The following is a 27,835-nucleotide window of genomic DNA, read 5'->3' as shown; positions in this document are numbered from 1 at the left end:
CATCTTGCCTCAGGCCTTCCCCAAACTCACGCAGTCCAATGGCTGAGAACAGGGCCAGCAGGCATTGAGGCTCCCGGAGCGCACAGGCTCCTAAACTGGAGAGGGGCCATCTGGTCCACAGCAAGTCAGGGACCTGGCCTATGGGGTTCCTCTGAAGTTGGGGGCAGTGGTACTGGAATTGTTGCCCCCACCTCATGGAAAGCCTACCGCTCCATGACAACTCAGGACAGGACTGGTACAACCAACAGCCCTCCCTGTTAAGAGCCTACAGCCACACAGGTGTGTTAAACAGCTTTAATCTCGCTCATTGCGGCTTCTCGGCACAGTAAGAAATATTGCACATGATCAACATGTTTTGTTCTGGGGAAGGGGGCAAGGGCAGGGGGAATCACCTTCTTAGAAAGTACAACCCAAGTTGGGAGGGCAGAGGGGGTGAGGAGAAAACCCTCCCCGTGCCTGTGGCAAAGTGCAGGAGCCCCCACCCCCAAACTAACCTGAGTCCAGCCCCTCTGGGGAAAAAAGGGGTGCATGAACTCCCCCTATTCCACAGGCGCCTCCCTGTGGCCCAAGGCCTGCACCACCCTCCAGCTTGCAGCCCTCACAGGAGCCATTTTGCATAAAGTGAAAAGCTCTGAAGGTCACACGCTCCAGGTTATGTACAGGGGCTTGGAGGAGGGAGACTGCCCCTGCAGCCCCTCAGCTGCCCCCCAGCACCGGGAGGGAGCTTCGAGGGAAGGGGGTATTTACAAGAGGAGCAGGCCTCATTCCGCCCCAAACTGGAGAGGACGAAATGGCTTTACCCGGGAGGAGATAACCTTCCTGCCCCCACATACTGTCCATGTCCTGAGGGGGTACTATAAGTCCTGGCATCTTCTCAGGGGTCCCTCACCTGCCTGTGGCAGCTGTGGAGGGACCTGGGGGTGGGGGGGAGGGCTGGGGAGCCCCCTCCCAGCCAGGCTGTCCAGGCCCCGACTCTGGGGGTGGAGGCAGTGGCGGGGCAGCCTGGGCCGTGCCAGAGTCCGAGCTGGGTGAGGTGGGGTCAGGGCCCCCTGCGGGGCTGGGAGTGGGGGCAGGGGCAGCAGCGGTGCCAGTGGGGGGCGGTACAGGGAGAGGAGCCTCAGCTCCAGGGGGCTGCTCCGTGGGAGTGGCAGCCTGCATGATCTTCTGGCGCACCTCACGGATCTTCAACTGCAGACAAACCTTGGAGGGAAAGATGTCTGCATAGCGGGCCTGGAAGGCGGCTGTGGCCTGGGCTGGAGATAGAAAAACGGTGGGGAGCACAGGATGAGATGTACAGATAAGTCCCACCCGAGTGACCCCAAGACTCCGAGACAGGCTCACCTGACGGGAAGAAGCCATGGTCCTGAAAGAGCTGCATGACCAGGGCCCGGCGCTGGTCCAGGGTGCGCCGCAGGGAGGAGTATGGCACCTTGTCATACTCTAGCTCCCCAAGCACGTCCTCGGCTTCTGTACCTGTGCAGGGCACAGGCAGCATGGCAAGGCTGCAGCAGCGGCAGGGCCTTCCTGCCACCGTCTGAGTGCCCACCCAAGCCCTCACTGCATTCTATTTCACAGGGGAGTCAGAGAGGGGTCCTGCCCACAGTCACAGGGCAACCTAGGGGCCTGCCAGACTCCAGAACCCACCACTGACAGGCTGTGCTTCCTCCCAGCCTGGATGGACCCACCCTACCTCTCTCACTCTCTAACCGCCTTCCAGAGACCCACTCCTCTTGCAGGTCCCCAGGCCCCCAAAGTTCTGCCCACCACGGCACCTGTACGGTCAAAGGTGAAGATGTCCCCCTCGCACTTGGCACTCTTGGGGGTGTTGGGCTCCGAGCTGCAGCTGGAGCGTCTTCTCATCTTGCGCTTGGGCGAGGTGGGGTCCTCGGGTGCTGAATCCAGGTCTGGCCAAACAGAAGCAGACTCAGTGCAGGTGGCCCCAGTCTGCCCTCCACCTAAGGACCCTGGGTGCCCAATGCTCGCCTACCCGTGGAGTTCTTCCTCTTCTTGCGGTAAGAGCCCAGGATGGCCCGGGGTGAGGTGGCCAGAGACTGCAGGGTGGGGGAGGGCAGCACCTCCTCAGGCCGAAACTCAGGCAACTCAGCAAAGCGCTCTTCGAAGTCCACTTCTGACAGGACCCTGCTGGAGGGCCGGCAGGGTCACCTCCCCCGCCTCAGCCTGCAGCTGCTCCCACTCCCGCCACCCTAACACGCTCCACCAAGGCCCCAGCCCATGCTCACTTGTCCACAGAGTCAAAGGTCTTCTTCAGGGGCGGGGGCCGCACCTTCACCTTCTTGCCAGTACCAGCCGCCTCCTTGCGCTCCGGGGTGTCCCCGGCTGCCCGCCCACTGCTGCTCTCGCTGCTGCCACCAGGGGCTACAGCTGGAGCTGGGGCCGGGCTGGGAGGAGTGGGAGGCTCCCCACGATTCTCCAGGCCCTGCCCAGGGACGCGCCAGTCTGAAGATGAGCTGGGGAATTTGCTGGCCTGGGGTGGAGATGGGCAGGGAGATGGCGAACACTGAGCTCAGACTCTGGGGCAAAGGCCAGAAACAAAGAGTTGGATCTGAGCCCGCCCAGCAGACCCCTTGAGAAGGCTGTCACACGGCCTCAGGAAGGCCAAGACAGGGGCCTCAGATGGGAGAGGAGACAACACAGGCAGGCAGAAGGGACAGAGGGGACCCTTTAACCTGAGAGACACACAGGCATGGAAAGAAGAGTAGGACAGAAAAGCAAAGACGTCAATGGAGAGGCACAGCCAAGTGGCAGTGGGAGCCCCACGGCCTGCAGGCGCTCACCATGGTCTCAGGGCCCTTGGCGCTGGTCCGCTCCTCAGCAGGTGGGGGCAGTGGGGGGCTGCTCCGGGCCGTGGGAGTCCAGGTCTCTGGCAGGGGTGGAGGGGCTGGTGGTGTGGGCTGCCCCTCAAGCTCAGACTCTGGGGCAGTTGGCTCTCGGACTGGGCCAGGCTCCAGAGGCTGCCGGGGTGCAGGGCCAGGCCGCCCAGAGGCACCTGCCTCAAAGGACCCCACGGGAATGCTGGCGATGGCTGCCTTCACTTTCTGGGGGGCCTTCGGGCTGGGCCGCTGGGCCTTGGGGGCCACTAAGCTGTAGGTCATGGAACCTGCTAGTGGGGAGAAAATTGTTTGCTGAGCCAGGCCTGACTGGAGCCCATCCCCTGGGTCCCCCAACTCACTCTGCTCTGGGTTGATCTGACACCTACCTGTGGCGCTGGGGAAAGGGCTAGTCGGGGCTGGGGTGGCAGTGGCAGGGGCTGGCGGGCCCTTGGGCAGAATGGTGGCTGCAGGTGGGGTTGTGCTGGTGGCCACAGTGTAGACCAGGCTTGGGGGGGCCTGGGATGGCTGGGCCAGGGGTGCTGAGGAGGTGGGTGCAGGGCTGCCAGAGTAAAATGCTGTTATGACAGGACCTCCGGGGGCTGCACAGGCAGGCGGCAGCTGGGGACTGGGCACAGGTGACACGCCCACCTGACCGGGAGCCAGCAGTGGGGCTTGGCCTGCTGAAAGACAGAGAAGAAGAAGCAGGAGACCAAGTTAGGGCCCGGACTGCCTCAGCCCCACCCTGGGTCCCCAGCACTGCCTGCCAGGCCGCCCCTCACCTGAGAGCAGGGGCTGCACGAAGGCGGGGCCGCTGGGCCCCAGCGAGGTGAAGCCTAGAGCTACAGAGCTCGTGGGCCCGTACGAGGTGACTGTTCCAGCCTGGCTGGACGCAGGGCTGGTACCCAGGGGCAGCGCGTGCCCGCCCGCTGACTGCACATAGGTGATTCTGCCGCAGGAGAGGAAATGGGGAGGAGTGAGGTAAGCCGGCCCCGCCCCACCCCTTCCCTGGCCTCTGAGTATGGGCTCAGCTGCAATTACCTGGTGGAGGAGGGCAACAGGACCTTCTGAGGCTGAGAGGTGGGTCCAGGGAGTGTGGCTGGGCTCAGGGGCGGCACCAGGCCGCTGGGTGTGCTCACAGGCACCGGGGTCAGCTGGATGATCTGTGGAGAAGGGCACCCATAGGCCAGGGTGAGCTGTGGCCCCAGACTGGGGCAGGGGAAGACCAAGACCTCAAGTGGGACTCTAAGCAAAAGCAAGGAACACAGAACTTGGGGTGAGAACAGGATGGGCAAGATGACAGTGAGAGGTGGGGACACAGAGAAGGAGGAGGGTACAGACACTGAGGACTTGAGAGAGTCAGGATGCACAGAGACATCACGGAAGATGGCAAGACAGAGAACCAGATACATGGAGAAGGAGAAAAGACTGAAAAAAAAGACAAAGAAATGATGGGGTACAGGGGCCAACATCCAGCAGGTAGAGAGAAAGGCAGGCCCTCACCTTGCTGGGGGGCTGGGCACCATTCTGCACAGGTACTGAGAAGGGCGGGCTCACCAGTGGCAGTGGCTGGCCGGCCCCTCCACCCCGCACTGACATGCTAGGGGCGGCCAGAGGCACTAGGACCTTCCCAGGCAGCAGCTGGGCTGAGCCACCCGGGGGCGGGGCCTGCACGGGAGAAACTGACTGGGCTGGAAGTTAAGAGGCAAGAAAGGAAAAGGTTACAAGGGAGCCAAACAGGACTATGGCCCCTCCCCTAGTGCTGCCCGGCCCAGGTCTCACCTTTGGGGGGTGGGGCGGAGGGTACAGACTGCAGGATGGGGATGCCAGGAGTGGGTGCAGTGGCAGCCAGGACTTTGCCGTTGGTGGAAGTGCCCGGTGGGAGGGTGAAACGGATGCTGGTGGTGGGTGCAGGGCCGCTGGGAGCCGCTGCCTTGGTCCCAGGGGCTGGTGCTGGGGCAGGTGCCACCTGAAGCTGCTGGGGCAGCGTGGGCAGGATGTACTGTACCTGGGTGATTCCCCCAGCCTTGCCCAGGGCACCTGGTTGCAGGATGCCCAGGGGTACTGGCCCATTGGGGCCACTCCCAGCACCTGCTCCTGAGCCCGCAGTGGTCCCACCACCAGGGGCCCCCTGGGCAATGAACTGGACAGCAGGGGGCGCAGGGGCCCCATACCCCGGGGTGCCCACCAGTAGGTTAGTGACAGTGGCAGGCGCCTTCCCCACAGTGCCCAGCAGGGGTCCAGCCACCAAGTGTGGGGCTGGTGAGGTGGCTGCTGCCGACTTCTTGTCCGAATACACTAAGCTGACACCCAGCGGGGAGCCCCCAGGCACCCGAGACCCAGTGCCCATTTCAGTCCTGGCACCTGCTGTGTCATTTGGAGACGCCTCAGCCCGGCCAGAGGTGGGGAAGGGCTTAGAGGCGATGGGCACAGGAGTGCTGCTGACAGGCCGCACCACATTGGTGACCATGGTGGCGGCAGGACGGGACAGGGGAGCTGCTGGGGCCCCATAGGCCAGTGATGGGGCGGGGGCGGAGGGCACTCTGGCTCCGCCGCCCTCTTGCTCCTCCTTGTTTGGGGGCAGCACCAGTGTCTGCAGGATGTTTCCTCCTCCGCTGGGAGGGGCCGCGATGACTGAGGGGCCTGGTGGCTCCAGGCCACCCACACTTTCGGGTCTCTTGCGCCGGAAGGTGGCAGGATCCATTGGGAGGAACCGGGTTGCCTTGGAAGGTGTCGCTGGACCCCCAGCCCCAGGGGGTGGGGGCCGTAGGGGGCCCGCTGTGCTGCCCTGACCAGACTCCTGGGCCTTGAAGGTTCCTGAGCCCAGTGAGAAGGAGGTGGCTGCCGAGGCTGAGGAGGAAGCAGGCGAGGACGCAGAGGAGGATGGGGCGGAACCATAGCCTTTGCCAAAGGCTACAGGAGGATCCGGGGGCCCTGGGGGCTCAGGGTCCAGTGGGGGGCGGCAGTGGGTAAAGGAGGAACGGATCACAGGTGAAAACACCTTCCGACCAAAGCCCTGCATGAAAGGAAGGGAGACACCCCAGGTCAGGACACTCCGACACCTCGATAGCAGCCCCCTAGCCATGCCCATCCAGCCTGTCAGCCAGGCCAGCCTAGGGCTGCACCCCTGCCAGCTGAAGGCCTCAATTCATCCTGACTATGACCCAACTCCCCACGGGGCAAGCAGCTTGCCCTCTCTGGACCTTAATCTCCCCCTCTCTCAAGCCCGGGAGAAACAGACATTCCCATGGCTTAGGAGGGAGTGTGATGGGACAGCACCGTGACCCAAGCCCTCACCTTGTTGCCCTCTGGGTCCTCCCCAGAGCTGTCCCCACTCTCGCTGTCGGTCACCCGCTCCTTGCACTTGAGATCAATGTCAGTGGTGCCGAAGCCATCGTCAGCTGAGGGAGTGGAGGGAACAGTATGGGGAGGGGGCTAGATGCAGGGGGACCCAGGAGAAACAGTCTGGAGCCTGGATCTCAGCTCTGCTCCAAACCGGCAGGGAGTGCTGTCCAGGAAGGCTACTCCTCAGCCCAGGGCTGTGCCCACATGCCCAGTGCCCACTGCCCAGTGCAGGAGCCTATGAGCCTGCAGGACAGAGCCCCTAACACTGCACCTGAAGATCTGGTCATGCCCCCTGTCCTCCAGATTTCCTGCAGGGCTGGGGGCTTCCTGAGGGCAGGGCTGGATTTACTCGGCAGGGCCTGAACTGGCCACATGCAACCATAAACCAAGTGGAAAAGAAAACAAAGGGGCCTAGGGGCCTGGATCCAAGTTCTGCCCACCCTCTGAGCCTTGGCCTGCTGGGTCCTGGGCAAGATTCTGGGCCCTGCAATGCTCACCAATGACATCATCATCCCCTTCCTCCTCACAGATGACCATGCGCTCCTCATCACTCGTCATGTCCTCACTGGCCGCACGCTGAGAACGAGAAGCTCGGGTGGGCAGCAGCGGGGGCCGCCCAGTGGCCGCCAAGGCACCTCCCTCACCAGGGGCTGCAAAGGGTCCTGGAGCTCCATACTGGGTAGAAGGCTTTGGGCCAGAGTACGATGCAGGGCCAGACACCATCTGCAGGATAGGTGGCAGAGAGGGTTCAGCGGGGCTGCTGCCCTGGACAGGTTCCCTGCCCACCCCCACTAGGGGGCCTGCACCCTAGACCTGCGTCAGTTCCTGTAGCGCCTGACTGTCTACTTCTCCGCCGTCCAGGCTGTGTACCCCGCTGTGGGAGAAAGCTCGGGGCCGGGCTGAGCCAGGTCCCCCAACTGTGTGTAGCCGTTCTGCCCCACAGGAGCTGCTCCCCGGAGCCTTGGTGTCTGAGCTCAGGAGTGTCTGGGCTGCAACGGACAGGAGCTCAGAGGACACTGTAAAGTAGAGAGTGGCGCTATGACAGTCAGTAAGCCTGTCACCAGCACCTAGACTGGCCCAACAACCCATAGATATTTCTAGGTACTAGGCAGAAGCAGGCTGGAATTTCTGGGCCACTTGGTGAAAAAAAAAAACCACCACCCACCACCAGTCCAGCATCTCATTCCTGCTGATTCCTGCCCTCTGGGGTTGCAGCAGGCCCATTCCCTGGGGGGCAGCCCTCCTGAAAGTAAGGAGGCCTGGAGAGAGGTTCATGTGGTGCTGGCTAGCCAACCGCTGGCCTGAGCCTCGGTTCCCTCATCTCAAAGAGGAAGTAACTAGTGTCCCCACTCTCATAGAAGTGCATATCCATAGCAACTATCCATCTAACCTCACAGAACTGCCATACCCATAGGCTCACTCCAAAAATGTGCCCCAGAACACCGCCAGGCACACCAGACAACCTCAATAAGTGGAAGCAGCCCATCAGGGGTGTTTGCGAGCTGCAGTGGCCCCAACTATGGTGCTGGGGGCCCGCCGAACTGGGGTTTACATTCTGGCTCTGTCATTTGCTTGTTTATGACTTTAAGCAAGTGATTTTGCCTCTCTGAACCTCAGTTTCTTCTTCTAGAAATAGAATGGGGTTTTGCAGACTACAGCTTATATTCCCTGTAGTGCCAGGCACATAGTAAACACTCGTTAAACAACAGTTGATAACGAGATTGCTGTTTGGGAATCTTAGTATCTGTGTGGATCTCCCTGGCTCCGTCACATGAATCAACTGCCGGTTCCTTTACGGATAAGGGTCGCCAAATTAAAGCGATAGAGCAGAGAGGAGCTGCTGGGGCAGGGGAGGAGCAAGCAAGGGGGTAGCTGGTGGCTCTCGGGGAGGGAGGTGGCAGGGTGGGAGAGCCAAGGGGCTGACTAACCCCCAGGGGCAGCAGCAGTGCCCGTCTCCGACATGCTCCGCTCCCGCGTCTCCTTGTGCCCTCCTGCCAGCCCCAGGCTCGTGGGCTTGGCCTCTGAGCTGGACTTCTTTCGGTCCTTGTTGCACCACTTCCAATCTGGGTGGGCCTTGAAGTGGGCCTCCTTCACCTGGCAGGAGAGGGCAGGGCAACCCTTCACTCACCCACCCCACCAGAAGAAGCTGGGAGGAGCCAAGAGGCAACAGCGTTACCTGGAAGGCCAGGTCGTGGTACTTCTGCTTCTCCTTGGGCCCCAGGGCATACCACCACTCGCCCAGGATCTTGCTGACGGTCCGGTTGTCCTGGTTGGGATGACGCTGGTGGACCAGGGCCCGGTGCCGCTTGCTGAAGATCATGAAGGCATTCATGGGCCGCCGGATGTGGTCCTTCTCCCGCTGCATTAAACACAGCCCAGAGCGGGACAGTTAGGACCTGGCAGACAGGTGTGGGTGGCCACGGGGTGAGCACAGGACAGGCAGGGATAAAGTACCTTGTTGGGGCTGCGTCCATCCTTCTCAGAAGATGAGTCCCGTTCCTTGGGTAGGGCACTGAGGGACTGGGTCCGACGTTTTCCGGGCGGTAGAGGCAACTGGATCTCAGGAGACATGATGGAGAGGAAGCTGCGGCGGGGCAGCAGGGACAGTGAGGGCCATGTCTCTGGCCATCCCACCCCCAAGTCCCAGGCCTCAGGGAACTCACGCATCATCATGGTCACTCTCTGTCTCACTGTCCAGCCGGGGCTCTCCTGGGGGGCCGGAGGCCTCCTCCTCCGTGGTGGGAGGCGGACCCTTACCAGATTCCACCACCCCCAAAGGGTGTGGGGGTCCGGGTCCTGGGCTCTCAGGGCATGTGGCTCCAGGGGGCCGCTCAGGGTCAGCACTCCCTGTCCCACCTGGTGGCCGTTCATGAGCAACAGCTGCCGACTCAGCAGGTTCTGGGGACACAGAGGTAGATCAGAGGGCTCCTAGGCCACCTGGACCCCACACCCTTGCCTCCCCCCAGTCCCCACCAGCCCTCACCTTTGCTCTGGTTGGAGGCCACTGGGTGGCTGGCAGGTTGCTGGGCCTCGCTCGGCTGCACGGAGGGGTCAGGCTGGCTGGGTGCCAGGAAGGGGACTAAGGAGTGCCAAGGGAACACAGCCACAGAGCGAGGTTCCACATTCGTCCACACTGTGGAAAGGAGCCAGGTGAGCTGTGCAGCAGGAGAGCCTGGCCCCAACCCCAACTCAAGCTCTTCCCCACCCTAGATGAGGTAGCCCCACCCCTTTTGTCTACCCCCCACCCCCAACACCAGAGCCTCTTGGACTCGTCCATGCAACGTCACTCAGGAAAAACTCCTCCCTGAAAGGTTTCTAGATTTATAAAAAAGAAAACAGAAGCAGGGAAGGGAAATAGTACTCACGCCCCACTCCTCCCCCCACCAATCTCCACCAGCCCTGCCACCAGGGACCAGGCCAGAGGAACGATTTGCTCCTGCCACAAACCAGGTCATGCTTGGCTGCCATCCCACACTCCCAAGGCCCCAGACCTCTACGGGCTGGGACCCCCACCCCCGTCATGCCACATTCCCAGCAGCCCAGTCGCCGCCCAACACAGCGTCTCACCTTGGCCTCATGCTCTCTTTCCCTTTCCTGAGGCATACGGCCCCACGTCCCCTCCCCTCCAACTCTCCGTTCACTATGCACAGGCTGTGGGGTCTCTTACAACTGTGGTGTGGGAGAGGTCCTGCTCCTTGCCTTCCTCCCCCACCACAAACACAGAGTGCCAGACCTGCCCTTCCTGGCTGGGCACAGGTGGCTCCAGCAGCTCTCTCCTTTGCCCCCACAAAGACAATGCACCATCCAGAAATCGGCCTCCCAGCCTCCCTTCCCCATCAGCCCCTCGGCTTATCTGTAGTCCAGGGTCCAGCCCCCTTGCCCAAAACAGGGGAGGGTGTGGTAAACTCCTTGGAAGAAAAACCACGGACAATGGGCCAGAAGAGAGAATTGTAACAAGTCTCTACCCAGAGAGGGCACAAGTGCCAGGTGTTTCCTTGAGGATATGCACAGGAAGATGCTTCCTCACCAAGAGGCTGGTCCCAGGGGTCCAACCTTCAGCCCCAAGAGGTGGGTGGTGGAAGAGCAAGCCCTAGGCTGGGACCTACCCCTGGCTGGACTTTTGGGGCGGGCCTAGGATACCAGTGGGCTTCCCCTCACACTGCCTGGCTCCCTGGGGGAAGTGGAACCAGCAGAGGAGAGAGGCCCCTGCTCGGGGAAGATGAAGAAGGGAGGAGGGAACCGCCCTAGCCCTGCTCTCCATCATTCCAGGCCTTCCCTTGATCCGGATCAACCTGACCTGAGGTGACCTCCCCATGCCTTCAGAAGCCTGGACAGGGGGGAGCTCTGTGCGAGGCACTGGCCTCGAGACCTGATTCTGAGAGGGGCTGACAAAGGAAAAAGTAGACCTCAGGAAACAAGGGACTGGGATCACGAAGACAGCACTGAAGAGCACTCAAGACTACGATGACCCTGTCCCTTACCCCTGAAAACCCGCTGGGCCCTCCAACCCCATATAAAAGCCTCCAGGGACTTAGACCTGTGCCTCTCTTTGCAAAGATCTTTCCCATCAAGGCCTCCTCTTTTCTGGGGGGTGGGGAAAAGGGACCCAGCAGACAATGGAGGGCAGTCCTTTGGTCCTGCTCCCTCCTGAACCCCTCCCCAGTGCACAACCCTCCAGGTTCTTAGGTGTCGCGCTCTCTGCAAACTACACCACACACTGCAGCCTGTCACTCTGATCTCAGCTAACAGTGCCTCACTCGCTTCCTGAGCCCTGTCCTTAGCCCCACTACCCAATCCAAGCCTCCTCCCCTAGGACCAGCAGGTCTCGTGCTGTTCCTATTCTACCCCATGCTCCAGAGCCAGTTACTCTGCACCCCTCACCTTTCTATTACAGCGGACCTGTGCCATCCCATCACTTTAACATCACAGCTGTCCCCAGATACGCCCCACTCCGCTACACTCCCACCTGCCATCACTAACCACTCGGCCCGGCCGAGCTCCGTAACTTTCCCCGTCATCCCTTTACTCTGCCTCTACTGTTCTCTCCCCTACTATACCCCCACCACCGTTACTCCGCACTTAGCACCCCGACACCTTGACCCCTGCAGTCCCAGGGCCCAGGCGCTACTGACCGAACATGCCGAGGCCACGGGAGGCCGCGCTGGACGCGGGCATCAGGGGCCTGTGGGCCGAATACATGGTCCGGCGCAGGGGGGACCCGGCAGGGGCTCGCACCTCCTCAGCGGCCGACGCCGCTCCGCCCGCAGCCCGCTCCTCGGCCGTCGCCGCTTGGGCCCGGGGGGAGCGGGAGGCCGTCGCCGCATGCCCCCCCCCCCGCCGCCCCCCTCCGGCCGCCCCACGCGGGGGTCTCTGCCGGGCGCGCCTGCGCACAGCGCCGCCTGCCTCCCGCCGCCCGGGGGGCGGGGGAGGTCAGCGCGCACCGGCCCCGCCCCGCCCCCCGGCGCGCGCGGGGGCCGTCACGGGGCGCGCGGCACGGGGGCCATCGGCACCGCCCCCTCCCTCTCCCTCCTCCCTCGCGGAGTCCGGCGGGCGGGGCAGGCGGGGCAGGCGGGGCGGGGCGCGACGCGCGTGCGCGGGGGCGGCCCCCTCCCTTCCCCGCTCGCTGGCTCGCTCGTTCCCTCCCTCCCTCGCAGCTCCGGCGGGTAACGGCTCTGGCCCCGCGCGTCCCGGCTGCCGGCGCCGCCGCCCCGCCTTTCCGGGCCCCGGGCCCGAGGCTCAGCGCCGGGTCGACCTCCGGCCCCGGGCGGGCAGACGGACCAGCGTGCGTGCGTCCGTGCGCTCCGAGCGAGCCCCGCGCCGAACCACCACCGCCTCCCCGCCCCGCCACTACTACGCGCTCCCCTCCCCCCGCCGCGCCTCCCCCCGCCCCTTCCCCGCTTCCCCCGCGGCCTTCCGCGCAAGCCCGGCCCCCCGCGCGTGAGCCCATTGGCTGCCGCCGCCGCGCGCGGGTCAGGCCCCGCCGCGCCCGCCCCCATTGGCCGCCCCGGGGGAACGTCAGTCATATGCAAATAAGGGCAGGGCGGGGCGGGCTCCGGTTGGCCCCGAGCCGGCCGGGGGCGGGGCCGCGGTAGGAGGGTGGCAGGGAGGGCGCACTGCAGTAAAGGCACCGAGCCAGGGGGGCGGTTCGGGGCGCCGCGCTGCGGAGGTCTCTGGGTTGTGCGTGGTGCTGTTGTGTGTCCAGTCCGCGCGAGGAACACGCTCACGCGCGGCTCGGCCCGCCTCCCGCACACCCGCCTGGGCGCGCCTGGCCCCGCTGGGCAGACAAACTGCGCGTAGGGCTGGGCGAGGCATCCTGAGCCCTCACCTACTCACACTCACACTCCTCACAGACATACAGACACACTTTCGTGCCACACCCATTATCTCCTACACACCCCACGGGCACATATGCCCTCTGTCTTACACCCACGCTGTCACACCTCACATACCTGCTCACACAGATGTACAACCTCACACGCTCACGGTCCATCGCTCCCCACCCACCATCGTGCATTCACCCATCCTGTTCACATCACCCATCTCATCCATGCCCTGTCACACATGCTTCGCCAACCCGCATCCTCATCACACCCCCACCAGCCCACATGAATCATGCAAACAGACAACATGTCAAACAGGAGGAACTCAGCATAGCCCTGCTTGTCCACTACACACACTCCACACCCCTCCCACACAACCACACACTCCTCCGTCACACACACAGCCTTCCTAGCACTCACAAAGCGCCTCCTATCCCCAGTGCACACTCAGCTCTCACAGACACCATCATACCGACCCCACCCTCTATATAATCCTACCCTAATGGGTGCTACCTGCTTCAGTACCCAGGCCCATCAGGTATACAGAGCTCAGTGGCCACCGCCATCATTCAGCCACCCACCCTGACACTCATTGGCCACTCTGGACCCTCTGTCTAGCAGTATAAGGCAGGGAACCACAGAGCACACCATGGCTGGCCCCACCACACTGCTCTGCCAGCCACCCACTAACCCCGCCCCCCCTCCCAGAAAAAAAGGGCCAGGAAGAAAGGAAACTAACACTTACTGGGGCTGCTGTGTGCTGGGAGCTTGTATGTATTATCTGGTTCATTGAATCCTCACAGCCACCTAGGGAGGTATGCTTTATTACACCCATTGTTCAGGTGAAAAAATGAGCCTCAGAGATTGAATAAACTGTGGCAAGATCATGCAGTCAAGATGTACCAGCCCAGAGCTCTAACTCAAGTGCTGTTTCCATTACTCAAGGCTTAACCTCAGGGTGGACCCAGGGAGGGAACTCCAAACAGAGGCTGGGGAATATAGTTAGACAATGATACAGAGCCACGTGGACCACAGAAAGGCGAGGGGGGCTCACACAAAGACACAGGCAAGGATGTGGAGCCCATCTGGCAGAGACCCAGAGGCCCTGGATCACCCAAGAGGGGCCCTGGAGCCATACCCAGTAAAGGCACAGGACTGGGGTCACACACTTGGGCACGTAAAGGTTGCACAGGCTCAGATGGACCAAGACTGGGCTCTTACACAGGTTGGATGGTCAACAGGAGCAGACGAGCCCTTTCCCCAACCTGCCTCATCCACTGACAGAGCTGAAGGAATGGAGAGGGGGCAAAAACTGGGTAACCTGAGCCCAAAAGGGAAGGGAAGGTCTGTAGCCCTCTGACCTCCAGAGACTGCAGGGCCAGACACTTGGCTGTGAGCCTGGAGGGGCAACCAGAGGGACTATTAGGTGACTGCCCCCTCCTTCCTATGCAGCCCCAGACTCAGACCCTCCATTACTTCACTGCCCCAGGGACTGCAATGTGAGGCACGAATTGAGGCTGAAATCAATGTGGCCTGCTATCTCCCCACCACTGCCCCTACCACTGCCCCCTCCTCTCCCCACCGGTGAGTGAGTCACCTACTGGCAAGTTAACCCCTTCTCTACTGCAATGCAGTCCAAGGACAGAGCTCAGAGGAGCTCTGCCCCCCAGATCCCCGACTTCTGTTGGTTGAGAAAAAGAGCCAGGCATGGCACAGGAGGGAAAGAGGGCCCCACACATCTGGGAGGGGTGCACATCTGGTAGAATACACAGTGCCCACGGAGGAGAGATGGGAAGAGGCCCCGTCCGGGGCAGGGTACAACCAAGTGGGGGCCTAGCCTGGCAGGGAGGGGCGGGAATCCGGGCGGGAAGGGCCCCCCTGCCCTGGGCGCTGGGCCAGCCCTATACTTAGCTTCTATTGTTCAGGGTGGAGGAACCCTGGGTGGGGGTGGATTAGGAGCAGAGGGGAGGGAGCAGGTCCTATCCCTAGACAGCTCCCACTCTCTTGCCATCCCCAACCCTAATTGGGGCCTCCCTAGTTGGAAAAAGGTACTGAGCAGGACTGTGATGGCAGCCACCCCCTGCACCAACCCCTAACCAACTCCACAGAAGGACTGCCCCTAAACAGCCCCCACTGTGCCACCACACCCAGGCCTGGGGACAGGGAACCCAGACGAAGACATCAACAGCCACCCGGGCGGGCGGTACAGGCTGAGGCCTGCCCAGAGGCCTGGGGCGAGCAGCCAGGGATGCTGACAGACCGAGGGACAGGCAGACGCGCACTCTAAACTCATGGGGCCCATTTATTGAGCCCGCGAGGCACCGCACCCCTGCCGGCCGCCTGCGGCTCCCCACCCTGCTCTCCAGGCCCGGGTCCCCGCCTCAGCTCACCACCCCGGTGTCCCCAGCTCCCCTCACCCGCTTTCCACATACACACCCACCCACCCACCCCGGGCGGCGTCGGCGACGGCCAGGGTTGCCTGGGGAACGAGCCCAGGATTGGGCTGGCGCGGCTCGGCAAGGATGGGGGGCTAAAAATAGCGCCGGGGTGAGTCAGTGTGAGTGGGGCTGGGGTAGGCAGGGGGACCAGGAGGAAAAGAGAGACTGGGGAGAGTGTGTGGGGGATGGTCCCCAGGGATTGGGAGATGGGTGGGATGCGGGGGTGGGGGGGTTGAGAGACGTGGGTTTGGGGAAGGGAAGGTGCGGGGGCGGGAAAGGGGTGTACAGGCGCTTGGGCTGGGAGGGTTGGTCGGCGCGGGCTGAGGGAGGCGCCAAGGCCCGAGCAGAGGAGGGGGCGCCGCCCTGCGTTCCCCTCCCCTCCCCGCGCTCACGAGATTTTCCACTCGCCGCCTGGCCCCCAGCCAACCCCCGGCAGGCTCCACAAAGCCGCTTTGTGCAGGGAGGGCGGACGGGTGCCCGGCCGGCCTGACACCCACGCGGGCCGCGGCGGGGCGCCGGCCAGCTGGCACCCGAGCTGTCTGCGGTGGGAGGGAGGGTACCCCACCCAGCCCGAGGACGCGGCAGCGCAGGGGTTAATCGCTCAGGGGCGGAGAAGCAGGTCTCGGCCAATCAGCGGTCAGCGGGCGAGACGGCAGCCAATGAGAAGGACGGAGGCCCGACACAGGAGGTCTGCACCCAGGGGCGCGCGGGAACCCACACCCCTAGGTGCCAGCGGGGGCTGGGCGCGGCCCTCGCTGGGTGCCAGTCCGCTTCTACACAGCCCCCGGAGCACCCGGTTTCCCCGACTACTTCGCAAGAAACAGGCTCAGAGGGGGGATAGCATCTTGCAGCCGCGAGGTGGCACGGCCGGGATTTGAACCCAAATCTATCTGGCTTCACAATCAGCTTTTCCGCTGAAATAGGGGGACGGGAGTTCCCTGCCCGGGCCCTCGTGGGGAGCGGGAACAGGGGATAGGGTGGGGGTGGAGGAGGCGGCGCGGCGGGCTAGGGTCCAGCCGCCTGCGGTGCAGCCGCTGCCGCCGGTGGTAATGGGAGCCAGACGCCGTCGCCGCCGCTAATGCGCCTCCCTCCCGGCCACTAATGGAGCCATTAATACCCGGGCACCGGGGGCTCCGGGACGTACCCCCCAACCCCCTCTGCCGCGCATGCGCGCGCCTGCTGTCCCGCCGCCGCCTGCCGCCAGGAGGCAGCCTGACGCCTCGCAGCTCCTGGTGCTGGGGGCTGCTAAGCTGGGGGAGCTGGGGTCTCTTCTACAGTTACCAAGACTCACTCCTGCACCTTCACAAGCTCTTCCTCCTCTCCTCCTCTTCCCCAAGCCATCTTCTTCCCAACTCCTGCCTTTCCAGGGCGGTCTCCAGGGGTCTCTGACACCTAGATCCAACATTTTCCCTCCCCTGCTCTAAATGCCTTCTTGACTCTTTACTGGCCCGCGTAGAGCCCCAGCTTCTCAGCCTGGCATTCAAGCTGGGCCTGTCGTCCACGGCACCCTTCTGCTAAGCCTGGACTCTGGTGTCAGCTCCAGCCTCAACTAGCCACTCGGAGTTCATGCACTTTCACTCTTCCTGGTCTTTGCTCATGCAGCTGTTTCAGGTGGAATTGCCTTTTCCTTTCTTTGACTATTCTGAAATCTACTCATTCCTCATACTTCAGCTCAAATGTCACCTCCAGTGAGAAACCTACCTGATCCTCCCTTATCAGCCCCCATGAACCACTGAGTTGTCCCTGCCCCTTGGCTTCCCCAGACTCAGTACCTCCCTGGGCTCATCCTTGCCTGTGCCTGCATCCACATCTGCCTTCCTCACCCACCTGCCCCAGGACTGCTCAGCCCTGGGCCTGGCAGAGGGATGAGGAGGGAGCTGGCTTCTGCTGGTGGAGATAGGGTTCACTGTTTGAAACAAAATGGAAATTATGGTGGGCAGTATCTGGATCTGGGGAGTCAGGAGACCCAGGCTTAACCCCTTTGGCCCCTCTTTTTCCCCACCTGCCCAAGCATAGTTGGTGGGTACTGCCTCGTCTCTGAGGCCCTACCCATTGGGGTGCACTATATCTGGGACTCCTTTCAATGAAGCTGGCATCAAATGAAAGGCAAGGGGTAAAGGGGGAGGTAGGATGACCTGGGTCATGCCCTCTGGCAGGTGGGTGGGCACTGAAGCTTCTTTCCTGCCGCCCCCTACAGCCGGATCTCCTAGCTTGGTCCATACAGCCCCCGCTTTCCTGCCTGTCTTGGGAACAGGTGCTTGGATGGTGGATGGGTCTGCAGGATGGATCTCAGCACTTCTCAGCAGATTTCAGGGACAGTAGTAGGCAGTTAATTTGTCAAAGAGCATGAGGGGGCTCCCTGGCCTGGACAACCTCCCAACACTCCCCAAGAAGGAAGTAGGAGACCTGGTGCTTGGCAACTGCCCACTGTCTTAAAAGAACAGAACACCTGATATGCACAGGGTGGGGCTGGGAGGCTGGCATGGGGGCAGCAAGTCCATCTAAAGAGTGGGAGTAGGAGGGCCAAAGAGAGGCCAAGGCTGGCTCAGAGACACAGGATGCCAGCTGGCAGCCAAAACAGAAAGAGGGTGGGCTGAAAGCTCAGACGAGGACTGAAGTCCAGAGAGGGACAAACCCAGGAAGGCACAGGGAGCCCCCAGACTCAAAGAAGAGTCAGACAGACAGAGGTCCAAAGAGAGACACACGTATAGACCTAGAAATAGGAGACCAGAGAGATATAGGAAGCCAAGGATAAGACAGACAGAGCCAGACCGCCAGACAGAGGCCCAGGAGAAGGAGCAACGCCTGTCAACAAGGGGAAGCCAGGCAGGAAGCTGGGAGCTGGGAGGGAGGCCATACCAGGAATGGGGCTGAGACATCTGGCCTCCTGGACTGGGGCTGCAGGCCCTGGGGCGGGATCCTCTCCTGGGGAGCAGGCGGGAAGATTCAGAGGGAGGTGGCAACGGCAGCTGGCTGGCCATGCCATGCACAGAATGTGGAGAATGCCAGCCGCCTGCCCCAGCAAGTCCCCCAGCGGAAGCAAATGCCTGGCTGGGGGCAGGAGCAGGCAGGCTGCCCTGGGCCGCCCCCTCACACCTGCTGCCCTCTGATGGAGGGTCAGGCCCTGGCATGGGCCAGCAGAAGGGACCAGGCCTGCAACCTCACTATACCACTGAACACGGTCTGCCCTATCTGGGCCCCATGGGGAGAAGGCTCCAAGCTGCCTACCTCCCAAGGGCTTAGGGAGGCCTCTGGGAGAAGAATGAAAGGGCAGGCTGTTCAGGAACCTGAAGGCAGCCTGGATACCTCAGCATGGGTGTTGTTAGGGAGGCGCTCCTCAGAACTGCCAGGATAGGCACTGGACAAGTTATGACAACCAGGTGGCCCCCAGCAAGGGGCCTCCCTTCTCTGATCCTCAGTCTACCCCTGGACAACAGGCCTGGCAATCTACTTCACAGCATCAGGCGGAGCTGATGAAACGGCCCCAAGCCCGGGGTTAGGCACACAGTCTTCGCTCAGTAGAGTAGGTATTATTGTTATCATTGTTATTATTGAAAGTGCTTAAGGGCCTGGGATCTGGAGCCGCACAGTCTGAGTTCAAATCCTGGCTCTTGACAGCTCGGTGTGGTGACCCAAGCCTGTAATCCCAGCACTTTGGGAGGCCAAGGTAGGAGGACCACCTGAGGTCAGGAGTTGAAGACCAGCCTGGCCAACATGGTGAAACCTCGGCTCTACTAAAAATACAAAAATTAGCCGGGCGTGGTGGCACACTCCTGTAATCCCAGCTATTCGGGAGGCTGAGGCGGGAGAATCGCTTGAACCCAGGAGGCAGAGGTTGCAATGAACCAAGATTGCGCTACTGCACTGCAGCCTGGGTGACAGAGCCAGACTCTGTCTCAAAATCCTGGCTCTCTCTCTTCCTAGCTGGAGGACCCGGGCAAGTCACTTAGCCTTTCAGGCTACGGTTTCCTCCTCTGTCCAATGGAACTAATAATCATGGTACTAGCCTGGGGCATTGTGAGGATTCAGGGAGTAAAGGCTCAGCAGGACTCATTGAAGTGTGCCAGGCACGTGCATCACCAGTGCTGCTCGGTGAGTTATTATTACTGCCACTTTTGGTAGTGAGAGTCCCACAGTCTAGAGGTTGGGAGATGACTCAAAGCTCTCATCCTGCCCCTCACTGGCTGGCTGGCCTCAATCAAGACTCTCCATTTGTCAGGGCCTCACTTTTCCTCATCTGGAAAATGGTAACAAGAGCCCTGCTGGGCCTACTCTGGTAAGCCTCAGCATCCCCTGCACCAGAGCCATTCCTCCCCACACAGCAGGAGTGGCCACATGAGACAATGCTGTAGGGGCCATGTTGGGGGTTGTGGGCATATGGGGGGGTGAAGGGTAGGGGAGTGGTTAGAGACCCTCTGATTTAGTTTCTTCATTACCTAAGGACAGAAATCCCTGCTGTGAAATTTTGCTTGTACCACCTATAACAACAAATGTAAAAAATGTTGGTGTCAGGGTGAAACACACAGCTCACAGCCTCAGTTCTGTATATGAACATCAGGGGCAGGCATAACCCGTGTCCCTGTGCCCTGTCCCTCGGGACTGGCCTGGGCTGGAGCCCCAAAAGGGAAGGGCCAGGCCAGTGCTCCTTCCTGAAAGGGCTCTTGCCCCAAGCCCAAGCCACAGCGGCTCCTACCCACATCCACACCCAGCCTCCTTCCTCCCTGGTCTCCCTGCTTCTGGCCTCAGAGACTCAAACACACCCTCTATGGTGCAGCAGTGGTTGAATCTGCTCAAAACCTTCCATGACTCCCTAGTACCCTCAGGATACAGTTCATAATGATCTTACTTAAGGGTCCTCTCTGATCTGACCCTTGCTCACCAATCCAGCCACACATCCCCAACACTCACCTGCCATTTAGAGTCTTTGACTTTCCAGATTCAACATCTTACAAATATCTGCTTTTGCCTTAAGGCCTTTGCACAAACTCTTTCCTCTGCCTGAAGATCCTTCCTGCCTACCCTGCCGGGCTCACATCTGCACACCCTTCAGGTTTCAGTTCATAGGCATCTGGCCCTTCTTCCAAGAAGCCTTCTCTGACTTCTCAGGCTGGACAGGCATCTTCTCTGGGCTCCCACGGCCTCCTGGCTTCCTCCACCCCATCCCTGACCACCCCAGACTGTTACTGTCTAGGGAGGGGTCTGTCTTTTCCAGAGGCTGTGAGCCCTGTGTAAGTAGGGCTGTGTCCTCAGCACCATCCAGCACAGGGCCAGGCACAGCACAGGGCCAGGCCCTGAATCAACAGTAGATTAATAAATAAATAAAAATAAATAAGGCCAGGTGCAGTGGCTCACACCTGTAATCCCAGCATTTTGGGAGGCCAAGACAGGAAGACTGCTTGAGCCCAGGAATTCGAGACCAGCCTGGGCAATACAGCAAGACCCCATCTCTATAAAAATAAAAAAATATATACATAAATAAACAAATAAGAAAGAAATGCTAGGAAGGAGCTTCCGACAGGTCTGTCACCCTCTCTGTGTTGCTCCTACAAGGCCCAGCCTAGCCTGGGTCCGTGGCTGTTCAGCACCATCTCAGAAATGCCACTCTTCCACCCCCAGCCTCAGCTCTCCAGCCACCCTGGCCTTCCCTCTTCCCCTCCTAGGCTGTGCTCCTTCTGGCCTTGGGGCTGTCCCATCGCCCTCCTCCCAGGAGGCTCTTCCACCCCACGGTTGCAGGTTCCCACTCATCCTTCAACTCCTGGCTTACACGCCCTGTCCTCAGTGTAGCCAGGCTAGATTCACACCTGGAGAAGTGCCCAGCACACCCCCGCTGCCTTCCATGGCCGTGCCTGTGATGTTTACTGGACACAGTGGTAAAGATGAGGGCTCCAGTCCTGGTCCTGCCACCTCCTGGGAAGGACCTGTTAGAGCCTCCATCTGCCCATCTGTAATCCAGCACTATGACCACGTGGTCACGGGCCAGCCTGCCTGGGTTTGAGGGCTGCTCCAGGATTGACTAGCCATGTAACCCTGGACAAATTATGACCCTGGCCTTAGTTTCCTCTAAAGAAGCATAATCATAGCACTTTCCTGTTAGGGTGGTTGTGAAGATAAAATGAGCTAATATTTGAAAAGGGTCTTTAGAACAGGTGGTAAGTGCTCTATGAGGTGGATGTGAAAATTTGGCAAGCTCACCTACACGCAGTGCTTACCATGGCAATGCCCTCGCCCAGTCCCCCAAGATGTGGAAGCTGTTGCCACAATTATCATTCTCTTATCCCATCAGCTCCATGGAGACCTGACTCAGTCTGCACTCAAGAAAGGTTTGCTGACTGATAGACCTCTTGAGACCACGTTCTCTGACAGGAGGCCTCTGGAAACGGTGCCTTGAGCCTTAAAAGTCCAATCCCTTTCCTGACATGTGAATTCCAACAGCAACATCTGTGCAGAGAGGAGGCCGGCCTCCCCTTGAAGCCCTCCCAAGGTGAGGAGCTCACCTCTCAAGAGTTCAGCTTGCAAGAGGCCCTCTACGAGGTGAGCCTGGCGCAGCCCATCCACTTCCACCTCTTACCTGTTCCAGGCCGGCCCATGATGACTTCCTTCTTGGGGGCAGGGTGGCTGGTATAGCTGCTGGGCACCAAAACGGGCAACAGGGCAGCAGGTGAGGGGTGGAAGGCCACAGGCTGAAAGGGTGAAGAAGCCAGGCCAAAGGCGGGCATCGGCTGGGCCACGGCAGTTGGTGCAGCTGGAGGCACGGTGATGGGCACGGGGGCTGGCAGAGGTGGGGGCAGGCCAGGCTTCCCACTGGCCACCCCAGGGGGCACTGGGGTTTCACGGCAGCCCCGCCCAGGTCCCCCAGCCCGCACCTCACCAGCAGTGCCCACCTCCCCAGGGAATTTGGAGGGCAGTGGCACATCAGGGTTGCGGACAATAACAGGTGAGTCCCGCTGCACAGCAGGCACCCTGCGCACAGAGGGCCCTGGATCCGAGGTCAGGCCGGCAGGGGGTGGCAACAGCAGCAATGGTGAGGGCTGGCGGGAGCGAGAGAAGGGCACAGCAGGGGACACGGCCCGGAAGCCAGCCGGCGTGGAGGGTGTAGGTGTGTGGGACACTGAGTCCACACCAGAGTCTAAGCTGTCACTCTTGGGAAAGTCTGGGGCGGCTCCTCCACCCCCTGCGCCAGGGGCCCCCAAGGCCCCTGGATGCGGCAACAGCTCTGTCTTCCGTCGCCCAGGGCTGATGGGCACGGTGAAGGTCAGGTTGGTCTGGAAGGTGGGTAGGATTCCAGAGGAGTGGCGCTCTCGGGGGGCAGGTGGCGGTGGGTGGGGGCCCAGGTCTGGTGGCGTCAGCACGCCTGCCTTAGGGGTGCTGGCGCTCAGGTGGCGACTGCGGACTGCAGTGCGCTGGATGACTGGTGAGGCATTGATGGGGCTAAAGTTGGCAGGGCGGAAGCCGAAGAGTGGTGAGGGTGAGGGTGATGGGGCTGGCGAGAAGGGCGATTGAGTGGAGACGGGTGAGAAGGAGGGCGTGCCTGAGCGCGAGCTGCCCAGCGACACCAGCATCACGGCCGCCTCACACTCGTCGAACTCAAAGCGTGACAAGTCAGCAGGGGCCACCAGGCGTGGCCGTGAGTCTCCACGAGCCGCCACACTGCTGGCCTCACTGTCCCTCGACGTCTCATCACCCCAGTCAAACTCCGTGCTGCCCTCACGGGCTGCCACGGCCGCGGGCCGGCCCGCCCCGCCAGGCCCACTGTCTGCCAGGCCTTCCATCTCTTTGGTTCGCATGGACAGGTGGCGTGAGCAGTAGCCTCGCCGCTGTGACTCCTTCATGCAGCCATCTCGTGAGCACAGCCGGCGCCACTGCTTGCCGTTGAACTTCTTTCGTATTCCGCTGGGTGTGCAGACCACATCGCCCTTCTTGTACTTCTGCTGGGCGGCTGTCAGTGGCGTGCGGGCCCGGGCTGCCGGTGCTGTCCCCTTTTCCAGGGAGGCCACGCTGCTGCTGCGGCTGCCGCCCTGGCTCCCCTCCTGGCAGGGCGAGGGCTGCTCGCCAGGGCGGCCGGGGCCCACAAAGGCTGGAGACTTGGGTGGTGGTGACAGGAGCTGGGGTGGGGGCAGTGGGAGCAGGGCTGGGGTACCCAGGGCTGGAGGGTGCTTCTCCTCGCCCTCCTCACAGTGAGTACCCAGGTTGCCACCAAAGCTGATCTTAGAGACCTCAGCATCCTCGGGCTGTTTGGGGTCCAGGGCAGCAGGGCAGGGTGGCAGGGTGGCCCCAGGCTCTGCCTGCTCTTCCTCAGGGCCTGTAGGGGGCTTCCTCAGCATGGTCTCAGGTTCCCAGGGGGGGCGCAGCAGGCGTAGGCTGGAGCGGGCCACCCACACAGCCTCCTCTGGCTCACGGTGCAGTGGCTGTGGGGGCTGCGGGAGGCTGCCTGGTAGGCCTGGCTGGGAGCTGGGGCCAGGGCTGAGACGGACCTTGTAGGCAGCTGGCTTGGTGGCCACCTCCACCACCACACCTTCCCGGTAGGCAGCCACGCCGGGCTCCACACAGGTACAGACAGCTGTGCCCACCACCAGGGCACCTGGTGGGGGTGTGGCATCCAAAACTACATCCACACCAGCGCCTGGCACCCCCTCATAGAAAGTCAGGGCTCGGTCACCAGGGAACTGCACGCCCAGGTCCTGGCTTCGGCGCACCTGGCGCACCACAGCCGGCAGGAAAAGGCCATCACCACGCCGAGCCAGCACCCGCTGGGACCGCAGCTGCCGCAGGTCATAGCTGCCACTGGTGCTGCCAGGGGGCCAAGGGCCTGGACCACAAGCCTCAGCCGGCTCATCCTCCAGGTCCGCCGAGTGCTCGCTGGCTGTGTCAGTGGAGGAGGAACGAGTGGAGGTGGGTGGCCGTGGAGGCACCCCCAGGCCACTGGCCTCCTCAGGGGTCCGCACCCGCTCTTCAGGGGCCCCAGCCACCCCACTGCTGCCAGCTCCGTGCTCCTCCACATACTTCTTCTTGGGCGCTCGAGACTTGAACGTGGCTGTCTTGCGGCTGAGTGAGGGCTCCCAGCGGCCTGCCTCCCCATCCCCTTTGGGGTCCTCTGCTGGGCCTGGAGCCGGGTCGCCAGGGTGCAGCTCCAGTGGAGGACCTTCAGCCCCAGGGCCCCGCTCAGCCTCCTCCTCCTCCCCTTCCTCAGCCTCTTCGGGCCCGGACTGTGGTTGCGGCTGCTGTGCCTCGTCATCCTCCTCCTCTGGCTTGTCACCCTCCCCAGCCCCTCGCCGCCTCAGAGCCTTGGCCCTGGTGGCTGGGGGGGACTTGCTGCCACTGCCAGGACCTGAAAGGCCAGTGCATGCCTTCTTCATTGGCTTCATTTTTGTCCACCTGCAGGGTGGGAGAGCGGAGGATTACGCGGAGCAACTCAGGAACCTCTCCAGAGCCAGTGTACCCTAAGATTTCCCACTTGCTGAGTCTACTGTCTCCATCCCACCATCCCCAAGGCCTCCTCTCTGGCTGCTGTCAACTCATGTGATACCTCAGTCAGCACCAGGCACAGGTGAGCACCTGAGTCCCCTGAGTATACACACTCTGGCTCCTTGGGGAACAGACACCTGCTGGCTCTGCAAAGGACACAGAGCACATGCTCTGAATGCCCCAAGGGGACATCAAAAGCACTAACAGTTCACACCTATGGAGCACTCCCTGTGTCCTGAACTCCATGCTAAGCTTGCCTTTATTAACCTGTTTCATCCTCACAACAGCCCTAAAAGCAGGTGCTACTATCGGCCTCATTTCACACCTGAGGAAACTGAGCCACAAAAAGATGAGACAACTTGTCCAAGATCATCCAGGTGGGAAACAGCAGTGCTAGGGTCTGAACCCAGGCTCTCTGGCTCCAGAGTCCGTGCTCCTGACCATTTCAGTGTGCTGCCTGTCACATGATCCAGAGGGCACATTTACTCGCACTGTCACCATGCAGAGAGTACATGCACTCAGACACACACACACATGCACAAGTACCAAGTCACAAAAAGGGTGGTGACTGGGCTGTGATATGAGCCTTTCTCCACCCCCCCACCCTCCCTCTGCCCCTCTGGGCAGCCTGGCATGGCCAGGCACTGTGGGAAGAAGTGGGCAGCTGAGAGTCCCGAGGGACGGCTGCCCACTCTGCTCTGCACCCTAGGGCTGCCAGGTACAGCCATCTCCCCAGATCCTGGCAGGGAGCAGGCAGGGGCATGTCTGGGGCAAGAGCTCATACCCAGCACTGCCACGGGGCCGTGCATGAGCACACGCACGCGCACAAACACACACACACGCACAGAAGCACGCACACGTCATCACACAGTGGGACACAGAGCTACACCCCAGGGTTTCTCTGTCCCACTGGATGGGAGCCTGCTCCTCCCCCCACAGCACCCAGCGTGATACCCGCAAGCCCAGCCCCCCTCTTCTTGCCTGCATGCATCCCCGCCCTGGCTGGGCTGGCTCTGGCAGGGTGGCTGAGTCGGCTAGCCCCCCGCAGGCCCCCAAATATGCCCTCCAACTCCAAGTGGGGATAGGTGGGATAAGGTCAAAGAAAGCAGGACAAGCCCAACAGGCCAACCTCACCCACTTCCTGAACAGTCATTACTGCCCGCCCCCTTTCGAGCTGCCCTGAGAAAAGAAAAGGGGAAAAAACTTTACTCTGAAGTGACTAAGAGAACCTGAGAGGCCAAAACAGAGGCCTCTAGGAGGGTTGGGGGACCCAGAACCATAAGCCAAACACAATGAGAGGCAACCCCGACTCAGTCTTCCAGCTACTGGGGGACCCTTGACCTCATGCTCTCTCACTAGGGGCCTGCTCCTCCTGTGGACCCTGGAGTCCCAGGCCTGCCCTTTCTTGGGCCAATCCTGGGGTCCTCACAGGCAGAGCCTGGAGGGCGTCCCGGGGCTGGCACCCAAATGCCCAGAAGTTGGGCAGCCATCACCACCTAATACCCGCTGACCCACTAGACTACCATGTTGGGGACTGAGATCTGGCTCCAGTTTTTTCCAAGCACAAACCTTTGCATACCCCACCCAGGGCCTACAACTATGCCGCCTGGACCCCTAGACCTTGCTGCCTGGCCCAGCCTCTCTTCGCCCCAGAGCTGCTTTCTTTCCCCTAGGGCCTACTCTCTTCCTGTCCACCCTGTCTGAATAACTCCCACCCAAGCCCCGGGGGCCCTCACCTTCCTCAGATCTGAGTAGTAACTCCCGGAGCCCAGGCCAGCCCAGGCCCTGGCTCTTTGGGGTCTCATACCCTCTGTTCCCATTAGCCCTCCTGGCACCAGCTTCTCTGACACTCTCTCTCTCATCCTGTCACTACCTCTATCTCTACCTCTCGGTTAAAATGCCCTAGGCCCCCTCCTGTCACCCCCTCCTTGTCACCCCCATTTATCTCTGTCACCTATTCCTCCCAGTCACTGTCCTGTCAGCCATCTCCGGACCTGTCACCTTCTCTCCCCATCACCTCTCCTTGTCACACTCTCCAACTCTGTCCCCTCCCTCTCCCTGTCACCCTGATCTAGTCCTGTCACCCCTCCATTCCTGTTACCCTTCTTTGCCCACCACCCCCTCCCCCAGTTACCCTTTTTCTGTCAAACCCCCACCACTTCCTCCACTCCCTCCTCCCTTCCCACCATTCCGCCCACCCCTTTCCCCCTGTACCCCCTCCCCGTCCCTGCCACCTGTCCCCTCTCGGCCCCCAGCCCCCCGGACCCCCCTTTCCTGTGTCAGCCCTGGCCCCGCCCCTCACCTTGGGCTCGGCGGGGTTTCGGGGCGGGGGGCCGTGGCCCCGGCTCGGTCCGGTCCGGTCCCTCCCCGCCCCCCCTCCGGCTCTCCCTCTCGATTCTCCCTTTTTTTTTTACTCCAACACACAAAATGGTGAATGGACCTGCAACAGCTGGAGCAGCCAGCCAATCAGCGATCACAACCCCACTGACCGGCGCCAGCCTAGACCAATAGATATCCGCAGACTGGTCGGCTCCGCCTCTCGACGACGAGCGACGCTCGCGGCGACCAATTGGGCCCATCGGGCAGCGCTAGGGGGCGGGGCCAAAGTCCAAGACCGGCCTCCCTCCGGGACCGACACCAACCTGAGCCTACGACTGCCTGATCTGCCTAGGGCCCTACCCTACAACAAGTGAAGGACACCAGTCGTGTCCAATTGCAGGCCGTCTTAGTTCCAAATGACAAATACAGTACCCAGTCGCCATGCAGCCTAGGCCGGAACCCAGCCTCTGTGAGGGACAGTAGCCAATGAAATGAAAGGAGGAGGGGCTAAGGGACGGGTTGTCCAATGAACGGAGGTAGAAGGCGTGGCCCGAACGTTTGTTGACCGGCTAGTCGCAGTTCCTGCTGGGAACCGTAGTCTTCTCACGTCTTCGGCCCATAGCCGACAGTACAAGGCAGACTACAACTCCCATGTGACAGAGTGCTTGGAGCACCAAAGAAACCCGGCGAGGAGAAAAAGTCGAAAAGGGCAGTTCGTCGTGAGTCTCACTGGACGCCAGGAGTATCTTAGACCCAGGGCCCCGACTCACCCGTATTCCTGGCTCTGGCGTCGCCGGTGGCTCCTCTCAGTGGCAGCGGTAGCGGCACGAGGGGGAGGTGCAAGGAGCAGCCAACCGCCACCCGCGAGCCCCGCAGCCAATCAGCAGCGGCCGGGGCGGTGCAATGACCTCACCGGTTCTACTCTCTTACCCCTCCCCCACGTGGTTGTTGCTGCCGGTAGACGGAGTAGGGAAGTTTGGATTGGGGGAGGGGAGGAGAACCAGTGATGTCACCTTTCCCCTTGTTGATTGGCTGCCGGGTGGCCGGGACTACGACCAATTGACGGTCTCGAAAAGTCTGGCGCGGCCCCGCGGAAAGCCCTGTTGCCACCGGGAGGGGAGAG

General features: G+C 61.5%; 1 protein-coding gene across 38 annotated transcripts, besides 16 other annotated features; it reads right to left on the bottom strand.

Annotated features, from left to right (window-relative positions):
- Positions 259–328: an enhancer, noted in NCBI's record as "active region_14712". NCBI's record gives its function as "activates an Ori minimal core promoter by ATAC-STARR-seq in GM12878 lymphoblastoid cells {active_cell/tissue: GM12878}" and the evidence as "EXISTENCE:reporter gene assay evidence [ECO:0000049][PMID:35858748]".
- On the bottom strand, positions 281–27,547 carry CIC (capicua transcriptional repressor). 38 transcript variants are annotated; one of them, NM_001304815.2, is made up of 21 exons: positions 27,483–27,547; positions 21,500–24,303; positions 9,157–9,306; positions 8,837–9,071; positions 8,628–8,757; positions 8,350–8,532; positions 8,102–8,267; positions 6,987–7,189; positions 6,671–6,896; positions 6,126–6,229; positions 4,611–5,844; positions 4,332–4,519; positions 3,870–3,991; positions 3,611–3,777; positions 3,218–3,511; positions 2,796–3,121; positions 2,241–2,485; positions 1,988–2,142; positions 1,773–1,904; positions 1,342–1,473; positions 281–1,253 (listed from the first exon to the last, which is right to left on the bottom strand). In NM_001304815.2, the coding sequence occupies exons 2-21, from the start codon at positions 24,291–24,293 to the stop codon at positions 886–888; spliced, it is 7,554 nt and encodes a 2,517-aa protein (NP_001291744.1). In that variant the 5' UTR covers positions 24,294–24,303; positions 27,483–27,547; the 3' UTR covers positions 281–885. The 38 variants fall into 38 exon arrangements, with proteins under 38 accessions (NP_001291744.1, NP_001426115.1, NP_001426112.1 ...); NM_001439186.1 differs by having other exon boundaries at positions 1,779–1,904; NM_001439183.1 differs by having other exon boundaries at positions 1,988–2,139.
- Positions 5,100–5,149: a silencer, noted in NCBI's record as "silent region_10705". NCBI's record gives its function as "represses an Ori minimal core promoter by ATAC-STARR-seq in GM12878 lymphoblastoid cells {active_cell/tissue: GM12878}" and the evidence as "EXISTENCE:reporter gene assay evidence [ECO:0000049][PMID:35858748]".
- Positions 5,163–6,063: an enhancer, noted in NCBI's record as "H3K27ac-H3K4me1 hESC enhancer chr19:42794166-42795066 (GRCh37/hg19 assembly coordinates)". NCBI's record gives its function as "activates a minimal SCP1, AML or CMV promoter by ChIP-STARR-seq in primed H9 embryonic stem cells {active_cell/tissue: H9 hESC(primed)}" and the evidence as "EXISTENCE:reporter gene assay evidence [ECO:0000049][PMID:30033119]".
- Positions 11,586–12,495: a silencer, noted in NCBI's record as "silent region_10704". NCBI's record gives its function as "represses an Ori minimal core promoter by ATAC-STARR-seq in GM12878 lymphoblastoid cells {active_cell/tissue: GM12878}" and the evidence as "EXISTENCE:reporter gene assay evidence [ECO:0000049][PMID:35858748]".
- Positions 12,113–12,287: a silencer, noted in NCBI's record as "fragment chr19:42787942-42788116 (GRCh37/hg19 assembly coordinates)". NCBI's record gives its function as "represses an EF-1alpha promoter that drives an FKBP-Casp9 reporter gene in an ReSE screen in K562 erythroleukemia cells {active_cell/tissue: K562}" and the evidence as "EXISTENCE:reporter gene assay evidence [ECO:0000049][PMID:32094911]".
- Positions 13,868–14,372: an enhancer, noted in NCBI's record as "H3K4me1 hESC enhancer chr19:42785857-42786361 (GRCh37/hg19 assembly coordinates)". NCBI's record gives its function as "activates a minimal SCP1, AML or CMV promoter by ChIP-STARR-seq in naive H9 embryonic stem cells {active_cell/tissue: H9 hESC(naive)}" and the evidence as "EXISTENCE:reporter gene assay evidence [ECO:0000049][PMID:30033119]".
- Positions 14,756–14,955: a silencer, noted in NCBI's record as "silent region_10703". NCBI's record gives its function as "represses an Ori minimal core promoter by ATAC-STARR-seq in GM12878 lymphoblastoid cells {active_cell/tissue: GM12878}" and the evidence as "EXISTENCE:reporter gene assay evidence [ECO:0000049][PMID:35858748]".
- Positions 15,216–15,535: a silencer, noted in NCBI's record as "silent region_10702". NCBI's record gives its function as "represses an Ori minimal core promoter by ATAC-STARR-seq in GM12878 lymphoblastoid cells {active_cell/tissue: GM12878}" and the evidence as "EXISTENCE:reporter gene assay evidence [ECO:0000049][PMID:35858748]".
- Positions 15,216–15,935: a biological region, named in NCBI's record as "H3K27ac hESC enhancer GRCh37_chr19:42784339-42784844".
- Positions 15,385–15,890: an enhancer, noted in NCBI's record as "H3K27ac hESC enhancer chr19:42784339-42784844 (GRCh37/hg19 assembly coordinates)". NCBI's record gives its function as "activates a minimal SCP1, AML or CMV promoter by ChIP-STARR-seq in primed H9 embryonic stem cells {active_cell/tissue: H9 hESC(primed)}" and the evidence as "EXISTENCE:reporter gene assay evidence [ECO:0000049][PMID:30033119]".
- Positions 15,816–15,935: a silencer, noted in NCBI's record as "silent region_10701". NCBI's record gives its function as "represses an Ori minimal core promoter by ATAC-STARR-seq in GM12878 lymphoblastoid cells {active_cell/tissue: GM12878}" and the evidence as "EXISTENCE:reporter gene assay evidence [ECO:0000049][PMID:35858748]".
- Positions 16,016–16,355: a silencer, noted in NCBI's record as "silent region_10700". NCBI's record gives its function as "represses an Ori minimal core promoter by ATAC-STARR-seq in GM12878 lymphoblastoid cells {active_cell/tissue: GM12878}" and the evidence as "EXISTENCE:reporter gene assay evidence [ECO:0000049][PMID:35858748]".
- Positions 16,030–16,174: an enhancer, noted in NCBI's record as "145 bp enhancer 284/285 fragment used in the MPRA reporter construct; PK_construct_4801". NCBI's record gives its function as "activates an SV40 promoter by MPRA in K562 cells {active_cell/tissue: K562}" and the evidence as "EXISTENCE:reporter gene assay evidence [ECO:0000049][PMID:23512712]".
- Positions 16,094–16,109: a transcriptional cis regulatory region, noted in NCBI's record as "ZFP161 motif; enhancer activity is reduced when this motif is scrambled". NCBI's record gives its function as "necessary for full MPRA enhancer 284/285 activity {active_cell/tissue: K562}" and the evidence as "EXISTENCE:site-directed mutagenesis evidence [ECO:0005528][PMID:23512712]".
- Positions 25,117–25,166: an enhancer, noted in NCBI's record as "active region_14711". NCBI's record gives its function as "activates an Ori minimal core promoter by ATAC-STARR-seq in GM12878 lymphoblastoid cells {active_cell/tissue: GM12878}" and the evidence as "EXISTENCE:reporter gene assay evidence [ECO:0000049][PMID:35858748]".
- Positions 27,326–27,835: an enhancer, noted in NCBI's record as "active region_14710". NCBI's record gives its function as "activates an Ori minimal core promoter by ATAC-STARR-seq in GM12878 lymphoblastoid cells {active_cell/tissue: GM12878}" and the evidence as "EXISTENCE:reporter gene assay evidence [ECO:0000049][PMID:35858748]".

The sequence above is a fragment of the Homo sapiens genome, chromosome 19 (assembly GCF_000001405.40).
Source record: "Homo sapiens chromosome 19, GRCh38.p14 Primary Assembly".
NCBI lineage: Eukaryota > Metazoa > Chordata > Mammalia > Primates > Hominidae > Homo > Homo sapiens.
This window is presented reverse-complemented; position numbering and strand designations above follow the sequence as displayed.

Coding starts and splice junctions, on each gene's coding strand:
- CIC (NM_001304815.2), bottom strand. CDS start 24,293: ATGAAGCCAATGAAGAAGGCATGCACTGGCCTTTCAGGTCCTGGCAGT. Junction 3,992..4,331: donor GTGCCCAGCCCCCCAGCAAG/GTGAGGGCCTGC, acceptor CCTTCTCCACAG/ATCATCCAGCTGACCCCGGT. Junction 2,486..2,795: donor CCAAGGGCCCTGAGACCATG/GTGAGCGCCTGC, acceptor TCTCCACCCCAG/GCCAGCAAATTCCCCAGCTC.